This window comes from Homo sapiens, chromosome 3 (genome assembly GCF_000001405.40).
Source record: "Homo sapiens chromosome 3, GRCh38.p14 Primary Assembly".
NCBI classification, from domain to species: domain Eukaryota; kingdom Metazoa; phylum Chordata; class Mammalia; order Primates; family Hominidae; genus Homo; species Homo sapiens.
In genome coordinates, this window is record NC_000003.12 from 21,843,182 (window position 1) to 21,862,489 (window position 19,308).

Sequence of the window (19,308 nt, forward strand, 5' to 3'; positions counted from 1 at the left end):
CTCTGAGCAGTTAGAAGATAGTATAAAGACACTGAACTTTTGGGTTGGGGAAAAAGGTTTAAGAACCAGCAGGTAGAAGCACTCAGGGGATTAACCGTAGCTCCTTTATCACTTTGCTCTTTGTTGGGGGACTTATCATCGGCCTAGTCAAGAAGGTCACCAATGTGACATTAGTGGACCAGGGGAATTATCCTGACCATTTGAATTATCCCTGAGGATATGTTTCAGCCTAAGAGAAATGCGAGCCTGTTGTCCACTTTAGAAAAGTGAGCTCAGGAGATACAAAGTCATATTTATCATGCTCTGTAGCCCAAGCACGTGAGAGGTAGACTCTGATTCAAGGTTGGAACAATTACTAACATCTATTTATATGTTAATCCAACCAAAATGTATTAATATATTGAGCTATTAAAATATAGAGGATACTGTACTAGGCACTTCAAGAATACAAAAATGAATAGAACCAAGCAGTTATCAATAGCAGGCATGTATTAAAGTCAGAAGATGATAAAGGGGAATAATCAAGTCATTACCAATTTTGAAAAGAAATGAAACCCAGCAGATGGTGAATTCTTAATGAAAGAGTTATTTCAATATGAACTTTGACAGAAACAATTCAAAGGGTCCCAGGTGGTAGCATGGTATCTTCCAGATGAGGGGAGAACATTTCATTCTTTTATTCTAATCATCAACCACTCCATTCAAAGCATCTCATTTCCTGCTGGGGAACAAAGTTGAAACAGACATAGAATGTGCACAAAAGGAACTCTAGTAGGGAGATAAGATACATTCATAAATAAATATAAAATAACATAGCAAGTAATGCGTCACACAAAAAGTAGAAAGTCTTGTTCTAGGAATTGTGTTGGAATTTACAAGGATGATATCTGGCAGAGATGGGAGATTTGGAGATATTTAACATATATTTTACGGGATTTTCACTATCTTATGTAATTTAACCTTAAAACAACCCTGAGAGGTAGACAGTACAGGACAAGTAAGATTTAGTACATTTGTTTTACAAATTAGGAAATTCGTGCCAAGAGAGGAGGGTTTTTGTTATTATTTTTTATTGTGGTTTTGTTTCATTCTTCAAAATACAATATCATAAGAGTGTTTTTATTAAAGGAAATTTATCCTCAATTGAGAACAGAGGATCACTGGCTTTATTCTAGCTTACCAGCTGATTAGACATTATAGATGGTGCTTTCTTGGGGATTTTGATGATTAGCCATTATAGATGGTGCTTTCTTGGGGATTTTGATAGGCAACCTGGATGCTAAAGTTGTCCGAAGCTCACTTTCCCTATGTGTCAAGTGGAGGATAACATTCTCTGATTAGAAAACATTCTCTGATTACAAAAATCAAATAGGAAAGCCTTTTAAAAATGATAAATCACCAAACCAAAAGGAAAGATGTTAAGTTTTGCATGGTAAACATTCAATCCAAATTCAGTGCATGACATCATTTTTAAAGTTCACCTGGTGCAAGATGCTTAAAATCTGAAATATTGAGGCCTATGGGAATTTGTTACAATCAGCAAAATTGCACTGTCACTAAATTGTTCACATTCTACCTGATGCTAGTATTTTCATTTAGTTTTGGAAGGCAAAAAAATGATCAATTTTACTGAAATTTTTCAGAGTTGCCTTGTTCAACCTCACAAATACAAGTATCAGTATATAGCATACACTGAGATAATTTAAGAGATCTTGGTGGACTTTAGAATTGGTTTTATAGATGTAGGTTTCACTTACAGAGCTATTGTTTTTCTAACACTTTAAAACATGTGTTGATGTACTGCCAAATCATGAACGAAGGCAAACATGTAAATAAATAAGAGAAGAAAAAGAAAAAAGAGAAAAGAAATGTTAACGCAGGTCTTAAAGTTGCTTTGCGACATTTTTATTCAAGAGAATAACTTAAGAGTTAAAATGTCAGAATTATGGTTAGTCATTTATTCTCTAGTCTACTTCTACGAATGCCAGATTATAGGTTGCATGTCTGTGCTGCAAATTTGCTGCCTCTTATAGAATAGAGCTTCCTGAGATTAAACATAAAGAAGAAAAACAGTATTGAGATTTAAATTTGCCTGGAGGAAACTGCATAAATGTGACTTTTGGTCTAATGGAATATAATAGCAATGATAATTTTGGTTGTAGCATAAACTCAGGCATAAAAGCACGAAGTACACAGTAGCTCCTACGACTAACGCTATTATATTTTCTCTCTCTTCTTCTCCTTCTCTTTCTTCTCTTTAAATCCCTTTTCAGATATGAAATCTACTCCCTCAGCTGATACAAAGATATTTCTAAGTAAAAATAAATTTTCTCTGTGTTATATTTTAGAAAGATAAACTGAACAAACCACACCAGTTTCCACTTAATCTAGAAAACCTCTCAACATTGCAATCCCTCCTAGAAGGACTTTCTTTTTTACAGTCCTGTAAGTTCTTTCTGATGTATAAATATATCCCCTGAAGAAACACCCAAATAACCTCAGCCACATTTGCCATATTATAACATCAGGATCTTCAGTGAGAAGGCTTAAAAGTCTTGATTACTAGAAATGCGATTTTCGTGGTTAATGAGAGCTTCTAAGAATCAACGTCTTTAACTTGTAAAGGAGAGGCTTGACTGCAATTTCTACATCAATGTCAGATTAAGAAAATACGCCTGAATATGGAAAAATATTTAGAGATTCACACAAAAAAGAGGCTCCCAGAGCAAAAATAAATTAATCTTGTTGATAATAACTGTGAAGTAGCTTTACACAATATGTAAAGTACTTAAAGCATGCTCACCCTGAGACCTACGCTACACTTCTGAAGGCTGAGGAGCCTGCTAGTAACATACAGAAAACATTTCTTCCCCAAAGTCTGAATGAACACTTAGGCTGTGTCCATCGGGGTCACAGGAGTTGGAAAAATAATTGCAATTACATATTAGTCTTTGCTGTGGAAAGATGTCTTAGATATAACTGTACAGCTAGGGAAACAGGCCAACATGGTAGAGTGAGGAATTTGAAAAAGCATTTGAAAGGTGATTCTGTTTGGAATTTCTCTAGTTGCTCAGTTCTAATAAAAATATACTATAGCTTTTCACATTTTTAGACTTGCACATCTGCCCAGTCTTTCAGTGGTACAGGCCATACCTTAATTACTCAAAAGTTCCTTAAGTTTGGGGTAGGAATAGTGCTTTTAAAAAGCACTTTCTCATAAACTAATACAGTAGGGAAATTACTGAATTATTAAATTGTGTGCTCCTGATCTTTTCTATGGTCTTGGAGTTCAAGCAGGTACCCAGAGTTTGCAATTATTGCTTTAGGGCTTTTTGCCATAGCTGAGAGGTGAAGCAGTCTTTTCCTCCAGGCATATGAGAAATCAGAAATTGATTGAGAAGTCTATGACATGTTGCTGAAAAGAAGGAAGCAGCAGAGTACTACTGCGGTGGAGGGGCGATCTAAGAGAATGGAAAATGACTGAGGTTTTCCAGAGTCTGATTCCTAGGAATTAACTATCCCCAGCACAAGCCCTAGCTTTAGAGAGAGAGGATGGGAAAGGCTCAAAGAAGTGGCTTTCTAGCGGCTTAATGGTGCGCCCAGGAGAAGCACCTCTAAGAAGCTAGAATCTGGTGTAAATCACAGCCCAAAGCTGCAGACACTTGGAACCTTGCTGACCAAAATATAGTATCTGTCCTTGACAAAGCTTAATAAAGAGAACTGATAACCTATTAGTGGTTTGCCTGATTTCCTTAATCCTATGAAGCTATGGCATAAAAAGGTCATGTAACTAGTCAGAGGTAAAGTAAAAGCAAAACCCAGGCCTTCTCAAGCCCCAACCAGGTACTTTTGTGTTACAGGGCTTCAACCTGAACTTTTTCAGTTGAAGTTATTTCTAAATTCTAATCCCCTACCAGCTGTCAAAGATTTCACCTCTGGAAATCCAGATGCTAAAGCAATTTTTCAGCAGTAGAAACATGGAAGAATTTATATTTTGATGAGTCATATATTTTATGAGTCATGGTACCAAAAAACCCTGAATGAATAAAAGAGGTGCTACATGCAAAGGACTTTTTTAGTTATTTGAATGCATCACATTATGTATATTCAAAACAGTCGTTGCTGGAGTTCCACTGTTTAAGAAAGTTTGAAAATGTGACAAAAAAGAGGCACTGATCTACTATCACGATATCAAAAAATTAAAATAAGAAATATATCCATTGATAAGGCTGCACCAATAACTGAACAATTGCATTTCTATGTTTTTGATAGGAACAATAGCAAAATATTCTAATGATCCAATTGTTTTATGCTGATTAGGATCTTCTTAACCTCTTGACAAATTTTAGATTACTAAAAAAGAGGGGAATTAAATAATTACATCATGGGTGTAGTTGATTGAATGTAACAATATTTTTGCAGTTTCCTCTCCTTTGGGTGTGTCTGTGTGCCAATGTTATTGAGAAATTTTTTATATCCTCCAAAATTAAGTGCATACTTTTATGAGTTTTGGTAAGTAGAATCATGAAATACCACCATAGTCATGATACAGAACATTTCCATCATCCTAGAAAGTTCCCTCTTATTCCTTTGCAATCAGTATTCTCTCATATCCTGACATTTGGCAGCCACTAATCTGTTTATTTTTTTGTGGTAGGAATATTTAACATGAGACCACACTTTCACAATGTTTCAGTGTACAGTAAAACATTGCTGACTATAGGCACCATGTCGTGCAGCAGATACCTAGGACATTTTCATCTTGTATATCTCAATTTTTATATCTGTTGATTAGCAACTCCTCATTTCTCCTTCTCAGCCTCTGGTGACTAACATTCTACTCCCTGCTTCTATAAGTGTGACTATTTAAATACCTTATATAAGTGAATTATTCAGTCCCACTGTGACTGACTTATTTCACTTAGCCCAATTGACTTATTTCTCTTAGCATAATATCCTCAAAGCTCATCCATGATGTAGAATATTGCAGGATTTCCTTTTTTTTAAAAAAGGACAAATAATATTTCGATCTATGTGTATACCACATTTTCTTTATTCATTTGTTTGTCCATGAAAACTTAGGTTGTTTCCACATTTTGGCTAGTCAGTAGTGCTACAGTGAACATGGGAGTGGTCATATCTCTTTGAGATCGTGATTTCAATTACTTCGGATAAATATTTAGAAATAGGATTTCTGGAGTATGTGGTAGGAAATAATAAAGATTAGAAGAATAAATGAAATAGAAAATAGAAAAACAACAAATATATAAATAAAATTGAGTTGGTTTTTTAAAAGATAAAATTGATAATCTACCTAAAATAAGAAAAAAAGAGAAGATTCAAATAAGTAATATCAGAAGTAAAAAGGAGACATTAAAATCAATGCTACAGAAATACAAAGAATCAAAAGAGACTAATGTGAATGATTACACATCAACAAATTGGACAATCTAAAAGAAATAAACAAATTCCTAGGAACTTACAACCTACCAAGACAGAATCGTAAAGAAATAGAATGCCTGAATAGTCGTATAACTAGTAAGGAAACTGAAGCAGTAATCAAAAGCCTCCCAACAAAGAAAAGTCCAGGACCATATGGCTTCACTGGTGAATTCCACCAAACATATAAAGAAGGGGAATGCTACTTTTATCTCGTCTTACATAGACTCTAAACGTGCTGGCAGACATCACATGTATTTGTTGTGAATAGATAATTAGAGATCATAGTCTTCTATCTTAGAACATAGCCATCATTCCATAAACATGAACATTATCTTCTATTAAATTTTCATTACTTAAACCTATTTGAGACTTCTTTCTTAAAGTTTTATCAACAGTGTAAGCACTACTTCTACGTGGTCACTCTCACTATGTCTGAATTACATAACACACTCAAACATCATATCTGTTGTTGCCTATAATATTGGTACTTGGGTTATACACATGCATGTAACTGTCACATCCCCTTTCTAATTCAACGCATTTTACTATTGCTACATATTATAAGTCTTGAAAACACTAACATCAAAGTAAATTTTTTTCTTCATATGTAACTCTACTTCATGCATCTTACATATTCAGTGTAATAGTGCCACTTCTTATATGGTAAGAAAGAGAATTCTAAATTGATTCAAAAGAATGAGCTAATACTTAAAGAGTTTGTGAATTGCTAATTTAAATATTTATACAAGTTATTACATAGCATGCTTTTCTGGTTCTTTAACACAGGAGAATGTGACATCTGAATATTCCACATGTCCTTTCTCTAACATCCATTGCCTATTTTTAATTAAAAGAATAAAATATAAAAGAAAGCTTCTAACATGGGACATCACAATAATTAAAGAATATTCTATTCTGTTCTTCCATTCACACCACAAATAGAATTTGGTTATATTTCCAAACTGTATGTGAAACCCATTTCTTTTTTTTTTTTTTTTTTTTTTCTACCACCATCGCTCTACACATCATTACCTCTGGTCTGAATCACTCTCATATCTTCTAATGCAGATGTCCTCAAAATTTTTTCTTCTATGACCTAAAAGATTTGAGAAACTTATGTTTTTTTCTAATTGAATATTATTGAGTAGAGGTCTAAACTTTTTTTTTGTTTTTTGCGGGGGACAAGATCATAACTCACTGTAACATCAAACTCCTGGCCTCAAGCAATTCTCCTGCCTCTGCCTTCAAAGTAGCTGGGACTACAGGTTTGCACCACATCCAGCAAATTTTTAAATTGTTTTGTAGGGATAGGGTCTCACTATGTTGCCCATGCTAGTCTCGAACTCCTGGACTCCAGAGGTCCTCCCACCTCAGCCTGCCAAAGCGTTGGAATCACAGGCGTGAGCCACCACACTCAGCCTAAAATTGTTTATTGAGTTTAAATAGTTGCAAATTATGGCAACTTATAATTTATTATCAATATGGACATGTAAAATTAAGCTGTTATATCTCTCTTTCAAAGGCTTAATGGATAATAGATATAAAAATGTATACTCACTTTATCAAACATTTGCACATGATGGAAAAACTTGTTCCACATTAGCCCTTCTGCCACAAAGAACTAGGAAAGTGGATAATTCTTTAAACAATTATTTTCCAACATTGCACAGAAAGAAATATGGGATTATGATCCCTGAGACAAAGAAAACAAAGTAAGCCCTACAATCACGACAGCTTTGTGCTTGTCAGTATTTACAGAAGATGGGATAGTGAAGGAAGGCCAAGTGAAGTGCAGTAGTCTCTTTGAGCTGTAGACACAAAAATCAGAGATTGACATGAAGTAGCCTGGAATTTGTGAGGCAAAAGATACAAAAGAAGGGATTTACTTAGATAAAATGATTTACAATCTGTATAGTAGTTTCCTTGAGCATTTGGCTGAATGCTAAATTAAATGATTAAGGTAAGACTTCCCCAAGCCAGAAAAGATCAATTAATGGAGACAGGACAAGTATCCGGGAGCTAAAAGTTAGAAATTGAACAGAACTCACACGTGGTTGAGAGATGTTAAAACTCTGACCAGCCAAAGGGAGAAACATTGTTGAACACTTGGGATACTTCGTTAAGATTCCAGAAGGACAATGCCTTAAAAGAAAGAATAAACTGGCCTTAGGTAAAGGCTATACTATACCTTTCCTAGTGGGCCTTAAAAATGTGCCTAAAAATTACAGAACAGATCCACAACTAAATTAATTGCCTGCCAAAACAAAACTGAACATTCTTTAAAGAAAAATAAAAAATTCCAGAAAAACCATTATGTATCATTCAAATATTTGGCATCCAATAAAAATAATTAACATGTAAAGAAGCCAGAAAATATAACTCATAACTAGGCAATAAAAACAAATCTAGAAATGAGAAAGATAAAATCAAAGGACAAGGATTTTAAAACAGCTAATATTATTACCATGTTTAAAATTTTAAGAAAACATAAAAACAATGAAAAGACAAATGGAAAGTACATTAAAAAAGAACCAAATAAAAACTATAGAAGTAAAAACAAAAAGTAAGTGAAATAAAAAATTCACTAGATGGCCTTGATAGCTGATCAGGCATTACAGAAGAAAAGATTGTGAATTTGATGAAAGCAACTACAGGCATACCTTGGAGACATGGAGCAACCAGAACTCTCACATTGCTAGTAAGAGTGTGAAAGTTACAGTTGCTTTAGTTTGGCAACTTCTTGGAAAGTTAAATATACACTCAATATATGTCCAGCAATTCCACTCCTAAGTGTTTTTACAATAGAAACGAAAATATATTCTCCACAAAACAAAAACTTGTACATGAATGTTCACAGAACCTTTATTTAAAATACTAAAAACTAAAAATCTCTCGTGTCCTTAAATAGCCAATGAATAAACAAATTATAGTATATTCACTTAAAAAACACTCAACAGCAATAAAAAGCAAAAAAGAAAATATCTTGTGGTCATGACTCCATATGTTAATATTTTCATGTGATTAATAATAGCTGATTAAAAGAACATAAAATGATAAATTTTATGAAATATTTTCAATGACATACAATTCAAAACCCTCCTACACGTCCCCACTGCATTTAAAAAGGTGCCAACTCAACTATGAGGCCAGTCAGTCTGTAGTCTCTCATTTTATCCTTCTACTTCTTCTCTAATATTGGGGTCCAGATATAGACAACATTCTATTTTTCAAGCATAAGAAATTCACACCTACCTTGGCCTTTGTCTCCTGGTTGCTCAACCTAACACAGTCCCTGTTGACACTCCTTGTCTTGTTGCCCTGTTACAATTTCCAATCATTTATTACTGTCTGATATTGTTACTTATCTTTCTCTTCTAAAATGCTTCATGACAGCAAAATCAAAACTTCTTATCTTTTTTATTTTCTTTCCAATGTCTAGACTCTGTTTGGTAGATTCTCAAAATGTATTTTCTGAATGGATGAGTGAATGAATGAATGCCAAATAGTTTTTATGAGCATCGGGTTTTTAGTTTTCGTTGTTAAACAATTAAAAATTGCTCTGTTTTTCAATGTGAATTTATTGTTTCCTAAAGCTACAGGATACACTTTATATGTCTCTCATTGGGTTGCACATCTCTAAGGAATAAGATTCCTTATTCCTTAAGGAATGAGAGGCAATTTAGAGAAGGTAGAAATTCCAACAAGCTCAATTAATTGCATAGTACTTTCCCTCAGGACATTTCCAACACTAATCCTAGGTCTTAGTCATAAAAGAGGCTCCCCAAGTGACTGTAATAGACAGCATTCATTTAAAAACTGTCACCTCTAGACCTGTGGCTTTATTGATTTTACATTACTTTTACTTTTGAGGCATCAAAATCAGGAACACGATGAATATCATGCTAAATGTGTGATTGGTAGGGAATTACTTTATCAAAAGAATTCTGAAAAAATGTTGCTATACCACATAGCATGAGATTAGGCAGTAATTACTATCCTGAGCATAGCAGTAAATTATATTTCTACAGTACTACTTAGGACAAGATGATTATGTCATTACTAAAAAATTGACAAAGAATAAAATTGGGGGTAAGATGAAAAGTTATGAATTGATGAGTTACCTCAAGGGATAAAGGTCAGTACAAAATATATGAAACTTAATGGAAGGGAGAAGGGAAGACGGATTAGGATATTGAAAAAGAGTGAGACTTGAAGAAAATTGTATTCAAAGAAATAATGTTCTCTCTAAAGCCCCTGGTTAAGTCATCATGAAATACAGAATAATCCCGTGAGGAAAATATGTTAAACATCCAAGTCTAGAAATCAGTTTCAATTTCTTCCACTTGTTCCCTCCACACTAATAAAACATCCCTCTGGACCTATTTTTGAGATTTCCTTTGCATGTAGTAAAAGCCAATTAAAGTTCTCCATACATTTCCATTTCAAAAAACTGACTTCAAAGAAATTGAAAAGAGTGTGTGATCAAACTAAACATATAGCAAAAAGATACATTTAGAGTAGGGTTTAAAAAAACAGCAAATATACATTAAAATCAAGTGTGATTGGTGTTATATATTCTTACCTACTTAAGAGAATAAAGATTTTCTTATTGTTGGCAAGAGTGCCTATAATCACTTTCCATAAAAGGACAGTAAAAGGTCTGGAAAAGTCTGTCTTCTTTTATAAATATTTTCCTGTATCGTGGTTTTAAAACATTTTTTAGGAAGAAAAGTGGTAATATCTATTAGATCAGAAATAATATGTTCAGTAAGTCAATCCACTTTAATATTTATAGCATGATGGTGATCAAGGTCATTACAATTAGTAACAATAATGCTAAAGGTTTCAAGTGTTTTAGAGTTTAATTGTTTAAAATTGCAGTCCTTTTTTTTTTTTTTTTAGTTCAAGAATGTCACTTTATCATATCATAAATGCCTCAGTACGTAATTGTGGGGAAAAAAATGAAGTGGACCCGAACAAAAGGGAAGCTAGAAAAAAATATGGAGGATAAATTTAACTTAGACTTGGAAGAATGAATTTTGAGCCTCGATTTTATTACGTGTTAATGTGACTCTTGACATGTCATTTCATCACGATGAGTGAATTTCCTCATCTGTAAAAAAGAGGGCCAAGAATAATTTCTTCATGGATTACAGTAAGGATTAACTGAAAATATGACTGTGATGTTATTCATTAAAATATAAAGCTGAAAACAAAAGGAAGATTATATACTGTATAATTCCATGTATATGAAGTTCAAGAAAGGCAATATAAATATATAATAATAGAAATGAGAAGAGTGATTATGGCAGATTGGACTATTGACGGAAAAGGAAAATAATTTAATATTCTGGGATGATAAAATATTCTATACCTTTAGGTGGTGATTAAAAGGGCATATACAAATATAAAAAGTAATTCAGATGCATATTTAAGGTTTGTACATTTTGGAAATTAAACTGCAATAAAATAAACAAGAAAGATAGTACTGCTGTGATATTTACCCATATTACTTAGCATGCACAAAAGGGCAGTCTTAACTTTCCTTATCTATTTTTCTATTCTCATCTTGGGCCGCTCCATTCATCCTTAAAGGAGAGCTTTTGAACCGGTTATCATTTCCTGGCTACAATATTTGCTTTTTAACCATAGAAAAGAAAACTTTCAATGCCCACCTCCACTTATTTACATCCTATTCCAACCTTGCCTAGGAAACTTAAAGTATCTCTTAAAACGGAGCTCATATGCCACTTATTCAAAAAGCCCTTCCAAAAATATTCTATGCAGATGGAGAGAATCAGATAATTCTTTGCCGGATTAGCTTCATGGGCACGCAACCTTGGCAATAATATAGGCCTTGCACTTGGTTTAATGATCTTCTGTAGACATCTTAAAATTCTTAACAACTTTTCAACAAGGGACCAGGCATTTTATTTTACTCTGTGCCCTGAAATTACGTACCCAGTCCTATTCTTATGAGTTTTTGCTGTACCTGTAGCAGCATCTTTTTGTTGTTGTTGTTGGGATTTATTATTTCTTATCTGTCTCTTTGACTTACCAAAAATACCTTTAATCCTGACTATGGCTTTTCCATTTCAGTTCCCAGGGTCTGTCATAACTTTTGGCATTTAATAGGCACTTAATAAATATTTGTTGACTGATAGATTAACTGACCTATTAATTGAATGAACTAAATAATAACTGAGTAAATTAATTAATGTCATTGGGTAACAGTGATATGGCCAGCTAAGGAATGATGACAGGTTTGAGTAGTAAATTGAAAATTATAATTAATGTCTTCATTAATCTGATCTGTAAATTCACTCAGCAAACATTAAGTACCTACTTTGTACCAGAAAGATGTGACTGGCTGGCACTCACATCTATACAACATGATTTTTACCCATATCCAAACTCCACCAGAATTCTTACTTGGCTTTTCTCAGTGGCTTCTCAGACTTCTTTTAATAAATGGGCAATGTTGTTATCAAAAGCTACATTACTACTCCCCACACCCATTCCCATACCTATCTCTGAAAGTAACAGCATATTGTTATTTTCTCTGAGAAATCGCTAGCAATCTAGTCCTTGCATACTGTCTCAAAATAATTTGTTTGCTTTCCCTTAAGAATTTTTTAGCTGATAAAAAAAATTTTACTCTTCGGCATCCCAAATTGCTTACTCAAGCTGATATTGCACCTGGACCACACAGGGAATTAATCATTGTGTGGTGTGTGAAAAGATGCATACTGTACAGACTGCTGAGAAGTTGCATCTCTTCATGGAGATAAGGTATTACAGCCTCCACATTTGCCCTCTTCTGTGGCTATAAGATCTTCCTCGGCATCTCTACTGTTTTAATCCAGTGAGTCTAGATTCCATTGCTTTCCTATTTGCAAAGAAAGTTAGAATCACTGCATTAATCAGAATCCATTAAAAGTACAGTTTTTAGTTTTCCTCACCATACTAATCAGAAAAGATCATCCAAATAAGATATATACCAATATAGACCTGGAGCTCTTCTGTTTGCAGAATCTCCATTTAGTCTACCCCCAAAATGTTTACTTAACTGTTTGTGCTAAAAGGTACAGAATGAGAAGGTGATATTAAAGTAAATTTAAAGTAATAACTTAAGTAAACTCCTCTTCACTGTAGATACAGTTTAAGGGTTATGAGCTGATCTAGATCATGCTTGACTCTTCATAATAATGAATTGTGGTGACAACTATAATATCCTATGATTTTTTTTTTAGTTTATTTACATCTTGCTGAGGTTTTTAGAGGTGGTAGCTAATAACAACATGCTGCCACCAAACACAGAACTGGATGAAATCTGTCTATCAATCACTTATCTATCCTCTAAGTTTATGTGTAAAGATATACATATATAGTATTCATGTGTGTGTCTGTGTGTGTAACTTGGTTTTAAGAGTTTCACTAGCTGAAGCATAAGTCAACAAATATAAGTTACAGAATGCTCATTATCTGAGAGGAGAAATTTTTTTCTTGCTATAATCTCCAAGATAAATTTTTCACATGAGGTATTTTATAGCATTGGTTGATATTGATCTCTCCTACTTCCTTGATCACCGGTCATTTCTTCACAGACTTCTTTGATGGATCTATTTCAACAACTAAAGTGCAGACACTGGAATGTCCAGGATTACATCCATGGACCCCTCTACTTTTCTGCTTGCATTCACTCTCTCTGTAATGTCATCCAGTCAATCCCTTGGCTTTAAATAACATTCCTAATATTTTCTCGTCTTTCTGAACCCCTTCTCTCAACTTCAGACTCAACTGCCTCTAGGGCGTCTCCATTTTAATATCAATAAACACTTCAAAATTAACATGTAAAATATGCAACTCTTGATCTTTTCAAAATCGGCTGTAATCCTTTCAGCTACTCAGGCCAGAAATCTTGGAATTTTCCCCCTTATTTTCTTTCTTTCTTCTTTTTCATATAAACTAGTAGGAATTCTGTTGGGTCCACATTCAGAATAAATCCAGAATCTGACCACACACTCTTTCCACCATCGATACCCAGTCCAAGCCACCATCATCTCTTGCCTGAATTATTGCAGGGTATTTCTAACTAGTTGACCTGATTTTTCTCTTATCCCTCAACCTCTGAGAAGACACGTGAGGAACAACCAGCTCATAGGTGCTCAATAATGACCTATTCAACAAATAAATGCAAGGCAATGTCCTTAAATTACGGATCAAAGGAGATTTTAGAAGGTGATTCCAAATCACTGTCTTAGAAATCTTTTTAAAAACGTCCAAGGCATGAAATCAAAACAAAATGCAGAAGAGGCCAATCTAAGTGGAGGTAAGGTAAATAGGTAACCTTCTCATGTTTAACCATGTTCCACCTAAGAAGGGTTCTATTCGAAGCAGAAATGCAATTTCTAGGTCCTTTCTCACATGTCACTTTCTCATTTAGGCCTTTCCTCACCGCAGTATTTAAAACTGTAGTAACCTGATCTCAGCCCTCACCAACTCTCCCGATCCTCTTGGTCTTTTTAATGTCACTCTACAGCCCTATCAAATAGTATATATTTAGTTAGGTCATTTCATGGCACCAACAACAAAGTTAGTTATTTTTTCTATATTTTTATTGATGGTTTCTGTGATAGTTAATATTGTGTGTCAACATGATTGGATTGAAGGATGCAAAAGAGGGCAAGGTTTCTTGATGTTTTGCTCATAGTGTATCCTCAGGCCTAGAACAGTGCCTAGCACATAGTAAGTTGTATTCCTTAGGTGCCAGGGGAAACATAACTCTATTTAAGTAGTTTTAAGAGATTTTTTGTTGTTGTTGCTGTTCCTACAGGGAGTACACAGGGTGTGTGGTTGGAATTAAGGAAATTAACAAGGGATTTGTGGTACCCAGAAATTAGCAACCACGGGGCCTCATAATTCTGAGGCCCAAAGAGGAAGTCGTGGGACTAAAGAAGTCCTGGAGCTCAGTGAGAGCTGAAGTAATGGAGGAGGAGTTGCAGCCTCAGAGGGAAAGAAAATGGCCCCAGTCACACAACCAGAGGAGCCAGGGAATGGGGTTTATACCCTGAAGTCTGTTGCCTCCTGCCCTTGACTCTCTTACTGATGCTGTTAATTGACCAAACACAACGGGAAGCAGAGGTCAATGGAACACAGCAATTCAGAGAGGAGTCACCTTTTCAAGGCATAGAGCCAAGCAGAGGAGGATGAAACGATCTGAGGGACAACTGGAGAACAATCAGCACATAGGGACTTAATAAATAGCCATGGAACAAATGCAAGGCAGTGTCCTTTAAATACAGTTTCAAAGGAATCCTAGAAATGCAATCCAGGGCCAGGCATGGTGGTTCACACCTGTAATCCCATCTCTACTAAAAATACAAAATTTAGTTGGTCATGGTGGCACAAGCCTGTAGCTCCAGCTACTCGGGAGGCTGAGGTAGGAGAATCACTTGAACCCAGGAGGTAGAGGTTGCAGTGGGCCAAGATGGTGCTACTGCACTCATGCCTGGGACACAGCAAGAGTCTATCAAAAAAAAAAAAAAAAGGGAAATACAATCCAATGTACTGTTTATCTCAGAAACGTCAGAAAAAGTCAAGGTCACAAAATCAAAATAAAACTCAGAAGAGGCAATTCTGAGGGGTGTTAAGGTAGGGAGGTAGCTTCAAATGTTCTAACATCGGCCACCAAGGAACAGTTATATGCACAGTGGACTCTGGTCAAATTTCAAAGGTTCACATGTGCTATGGTCTGAATGTTTATGTCCCCCCTACCCCCAGATTCACATGTTTAAACCTAATCCCCAGTGTGATAGTATTAAAAGGTGGGGCCTTCAAAGGTTAATTAGCTCATGAGAGTAGAGTCCTCATGAATGGATTAGTGTCCTTATAAAAGAGGACCCAAAGAATTTGTTTGCCCCTTTCCACCCTGTAAAGACACAGTGAGAAGGCACCGAATATGAGGAATAGTCTCTCAGGAGACACTGCATCTGCTGGGCCCTTAATCTTGGACTTCCCAGCATTTAAAACTGTGGGAAATAAATGTTTGTCATATATAAACTACTCAGTTTTATGATAGTTTTGTTAAAGCTGTCTGAACAGACTAAGACAGCACGAATGATTGGATATCCATGTTCCCGAATTTTATAGTTCTACATAAGTTCTCCACGTAACTCCTCCATTGAGGTGGTATTCATGGATTGCATCATTAATTCAATATCCTGCCATGGTGCAGTTCTATGCTGCTCACTCACCTCACAGTGCCAGTGAATCCGATAACAGGTCCAATCTGTAAATGCCACATGGTTCCTGTTTCCCCTCACTGCTTTATCTCAAGATATATAGAAACTGATTTGATATCATGAAGCTAGAATAGCAGATATCACAATCATCCTCATACATATAACGGGGGGAAGTAGGCGGGGAGAGAAAAGGTAAAACTCAGCTTTCATATCTGAGGTTTGAGGAAGGGATTCTTTCAAGTAGAAATGCCATCTGGAAATAAAATTTGTCATTTCTGTAAATAGTAAGGAAACACAGGTAAGAGATGAAAACCAAAAAACAGCTCCTGAGCCTTTCTGCTCCAGGGGATGGTGAAAGCTCAAAGAACGTCCCTCAGCAAAACTGCGCTTTATACCCTGCCCGCAGATTCACTTCTGCTTCAGGAAGAAAGCTTGGAACAAAAGGAGCCTGTGGCGGCCCAGAAGTTGGAGAGTCTGGGGTTATGCATGTGTGGCTTTATCTTTCCTCTTAAGTAGTTAGTTGTCTTTGGAAAGTAACAGAAAAAAAAAAAAACTGAAAACAATAAAGGGAAAACCACACTTGCCCTGTTTTCATGGTCATGTAGATGAAAACAACATTCTGCCTCCACTCTCTTTGCTCTGATCAGAGGCCCGTGGAATAGAGAGTTCAGGAAAAAGAGAGAAAACAGCATGTCTCATGCCATGTCAAGGTGCAGGCCCATCAATTCAGCTGCCTGCAGACCTCTCCTCCCTGTGAAGAGCCTGCTGCTGAAACAACATTATTGCTGGCTGTGACTCCAAAGGCATTTTTTTTTTTTTCCTGTAGTTGTGAGGTGCTGACCTCACTGCTGGAATTGAAAGATAAGAAAAATGTTTTAATCCTTATGTTAATTATTGAAATTAGAACTGCAAACAAATATTTTGGGAAACTTCAAGTTGCTTCCAAACGTGGCACTTTCCATTTGAAGCCCAAAGTGTAATTGTGTATTCAAAGGCTCAGATCTTCCCGAAGATTCATGCATTATGTATGCCGTAACTTCCCCGGGACAGGGAGGATGTCACGCTCTGCATCCTGCTGAAATGGGGAAATAATTTCAGACACAATTTGACTTGAAAAGTATCAGAAATTAAAAAAGAAAAGAAAAGGAAAACTTGGAACCCACTTTTTTGGGACTAGAATTTTTCACTAAATCACAGGCTCTTTTAGGGTTAAAAAAGTACAAAATTAGGATGAATGTTGAAATAGCAAATTAACAACTACAGAAGTATATTCTTTTATGCAAAAAAAGTATTTCTAAAAGAGGTTGTTTTTGACCAAGGTTGAGCACGTTTGCTGTAAAGAGACAGATATTAATGTTTTCAGTTTTGTGCTGACATGATCACTGTCATAACTACTCAACTGTCTCACTGCAATTCAAAACAGTCATCTGTAAACAAATGGGTGGGACTGCATTACTATTAAGCCTTATTTGCAAAGACAAGCAGTCAAAAAGATTTGGTCTCAGGCAGTAGTTTGACAACCCCCATATATCTACATGTTTACAGATTAATCAATATGTTTGCCAAGCAAGTTAAATACTTAAAAACTCACAATATTGACTACTTTTATAAGCTGATTATTAATACTTGGCCTCTTTCATCAGTGAGATAAGTACAGATATCCCCACATCAACATCAGTTAAAAAGGGAGACACTGCCACTGCCAACATGAAAGTGCTCCTGGGACAGGAAACAGATCAAGCATCCTGACTGCATTAGACTTAGCATGTCCATTGTCAGGTTTAATAAAATCCTTTCAATAGTTTTCAAAGTCAGGCCTCCAAACATTTTCTCTAACTTCTGCCTCAAAATCATATATTAATTTCAGCCACTGATACCTGAGGCAGTTTCATGGCAAAGGCTTTCTGCTGCTCCAGGGAAGGCCAGGATAAGGAATCTGAACATATGCCTGTAGCAACTCCACCAGAGTCTCTACTTGGAGATTCCTGTCAAACCAAATGAAAAGGGGCAGACTGTAATAACATCCATTTAGATTCGATGTCTGATTCTCATTTAGTTGCCCTGATTTCTTTTAGTCTCTAGGCACATCTGCCAGTGCTTATTTTTTATGGCTGATATATGGTAAAGGTTTGATTAAGTTACCTCTATACCTTGCAATACTTAAAATATACAGCATAGAGCAGACAAAGAACAGTTTAAGCGTTATCCACTCAAGGTCAAACAAAAATATTTTAGTCCATCCAGCCAAGCCAATGAGGTTGGCCAACTCACTGGTCTACTCACAGGACAGTCCCCGCTTCAGCTTTGGTGTATCTGGGAAGCCAAATGAACAGACTGCTCTCAAAACAAGTTCTATTTTTTTCGTGCCATAGTCCAGGTGTTTTGGCTGTATCAATACAGTCTGCCACTATAAACTGGAAAATTCAGAATAATTACAATTTTGCTGTGTTCAGAAGTTAGTGGAATTTTTTATTTAGGGGCATCCATTGTTGCTCATAAACATGCATTTATCTAATTGCCTTCACTCATCTCACTTAATGTGCTGTACTCTGAAGACATTTCTAATGTGACCTTGAAACAGGTAAGCTCTCTCTTGTGTGAGGAGTGCAAATTTAGATAAATACAATTAATGGAAAATGTCTACGGGGAGAATTTTACCAATATATAACTGATCTGAAACTGTTGAACACTAAAATCACTGAGTCACAGGCAGCATTGATTTTCAAACCCTTGTTGAGAAAGCCAGATGGCATATAGGGAGAATCCTTTTAATAGCCATAGGTGGATGTGGTCTTAATAGTATAAGAGCATGTAGTAAATACTGTGGTTGTCTCCCCAGGAGCAATTCTTTCCCTTTTATGAGAAGTATGAAAATTTGGAGATGGAATCTGCTTTGTCTTACCCAATCAGGGCAATTTCATCTCTCTCACTCAGTGTCTTTGGTTGAAGTAACCTGCTCTATGCCAATGAGTACCTAGCATTCCCTTGAGACTTTGACACACACAGTCACAACCAGTGAGACATGAAGGTCTAGTTCTAGCAGCTATACAAAAATGAAGCTACTCACACTTCAGGAAAACCATGCCATGCCTTGAAGACGTAATCACATAAATCAAGTGAGCCCTAACACTAACGCTCTATCATCTGGTCATATGAGCTAAATAATCCCTTTATGGTTTTATAAGTATATATTTTAAAATTATGGAATATTTCAAATGTACAAAAAAAGTAGAGTAGGTAGTAGGACAAACAGCCGAGTACCTTGCTTATATGATCACTTTTCCATATTGATATCAAATTCTTTTGATAAGATATTGTAGAATACCTTAACTCATAGTTCCACATTTAAGTGATTAGGGATAGAAACAGCCCTACTACAGAAGCATCATTGATGAATTCTAAGTACTTGAGGCAGGATATCTCTACTTTTTTTTTTTTTTAATCAAGCTCAGGTTAAGAAATATGCAGTAAGTATAACACCTTTGAAACTGAGAACATACTCAAAGTGATATAAATCAGCATGGAATGTCGACCAGCCTGAGATTCTTATATCACAGTACGATTGTAAGAAATAGGAAAAGTAACAGAAATAGGACAAAATGTCTTCCATAGTCATTCCTGG

At 35.6% G+C, this 19,308-nt stretch overlaps 1 protein-coding gene across 13 annotated transcripts in view, besides 1 other annotated feature; it reads right to left on the bottom strand.

Moving 5' to 3' along the window:
• Nucleotides 1–19,308, bottom strand: part of ZNF385D (zinc finger protein 385D) — a 960,546-nt gene that overhangs the window by 430,964 nt on the left and 510,274 nt on the right. The window contains exons 1-2 of one of the 13 annotated variants that reach the window (XM_017007193.2): nucleotides 7,491–7,829; nucleotides 6,475–6,538 (exon numbers count right to left, since the gene is read on the bottom strand). The exons of 9 other annotated variants lie outside the window; for them this stretch is intronic. In XM_017007193.2, coding sequence (XP_016862682.1) covers nucleotides 6,475–6,538; nucleotides 7,491–7,538 — 112 coding nt within the window. In that variant the 5' untranslated portion in view covers nucleotides 7,539–7,829. Of the gene's footprint in view, nucleotides 1–6,474; nucleotides 6,539–7,490; nucleotides 7,830–17,563; nucleotides 17,670–19,308 lie in introns of those variants that run through there. 3 more of the 13 variants (XM_047448956.1, XM_017007195.2, XM_047448958.1) reach the window with 3 other exon arrangements.
• Nucleotides 18,735–18,904: an enhancer, noted in NCBI's record as "experimental_68017 CRE fragment used in MPRA reporter constructs". NCBI's record gives its function as "activates a minimal promoter by MPRAs in K562 erythroleukemia cells, with activity observed for the introgressed 3:21903493 variant allele {active_cell/tissue: K562}" and the evidence as "EXISTENCE:reporter gene assay evidence [ECO:0000049][PMID:34662402]".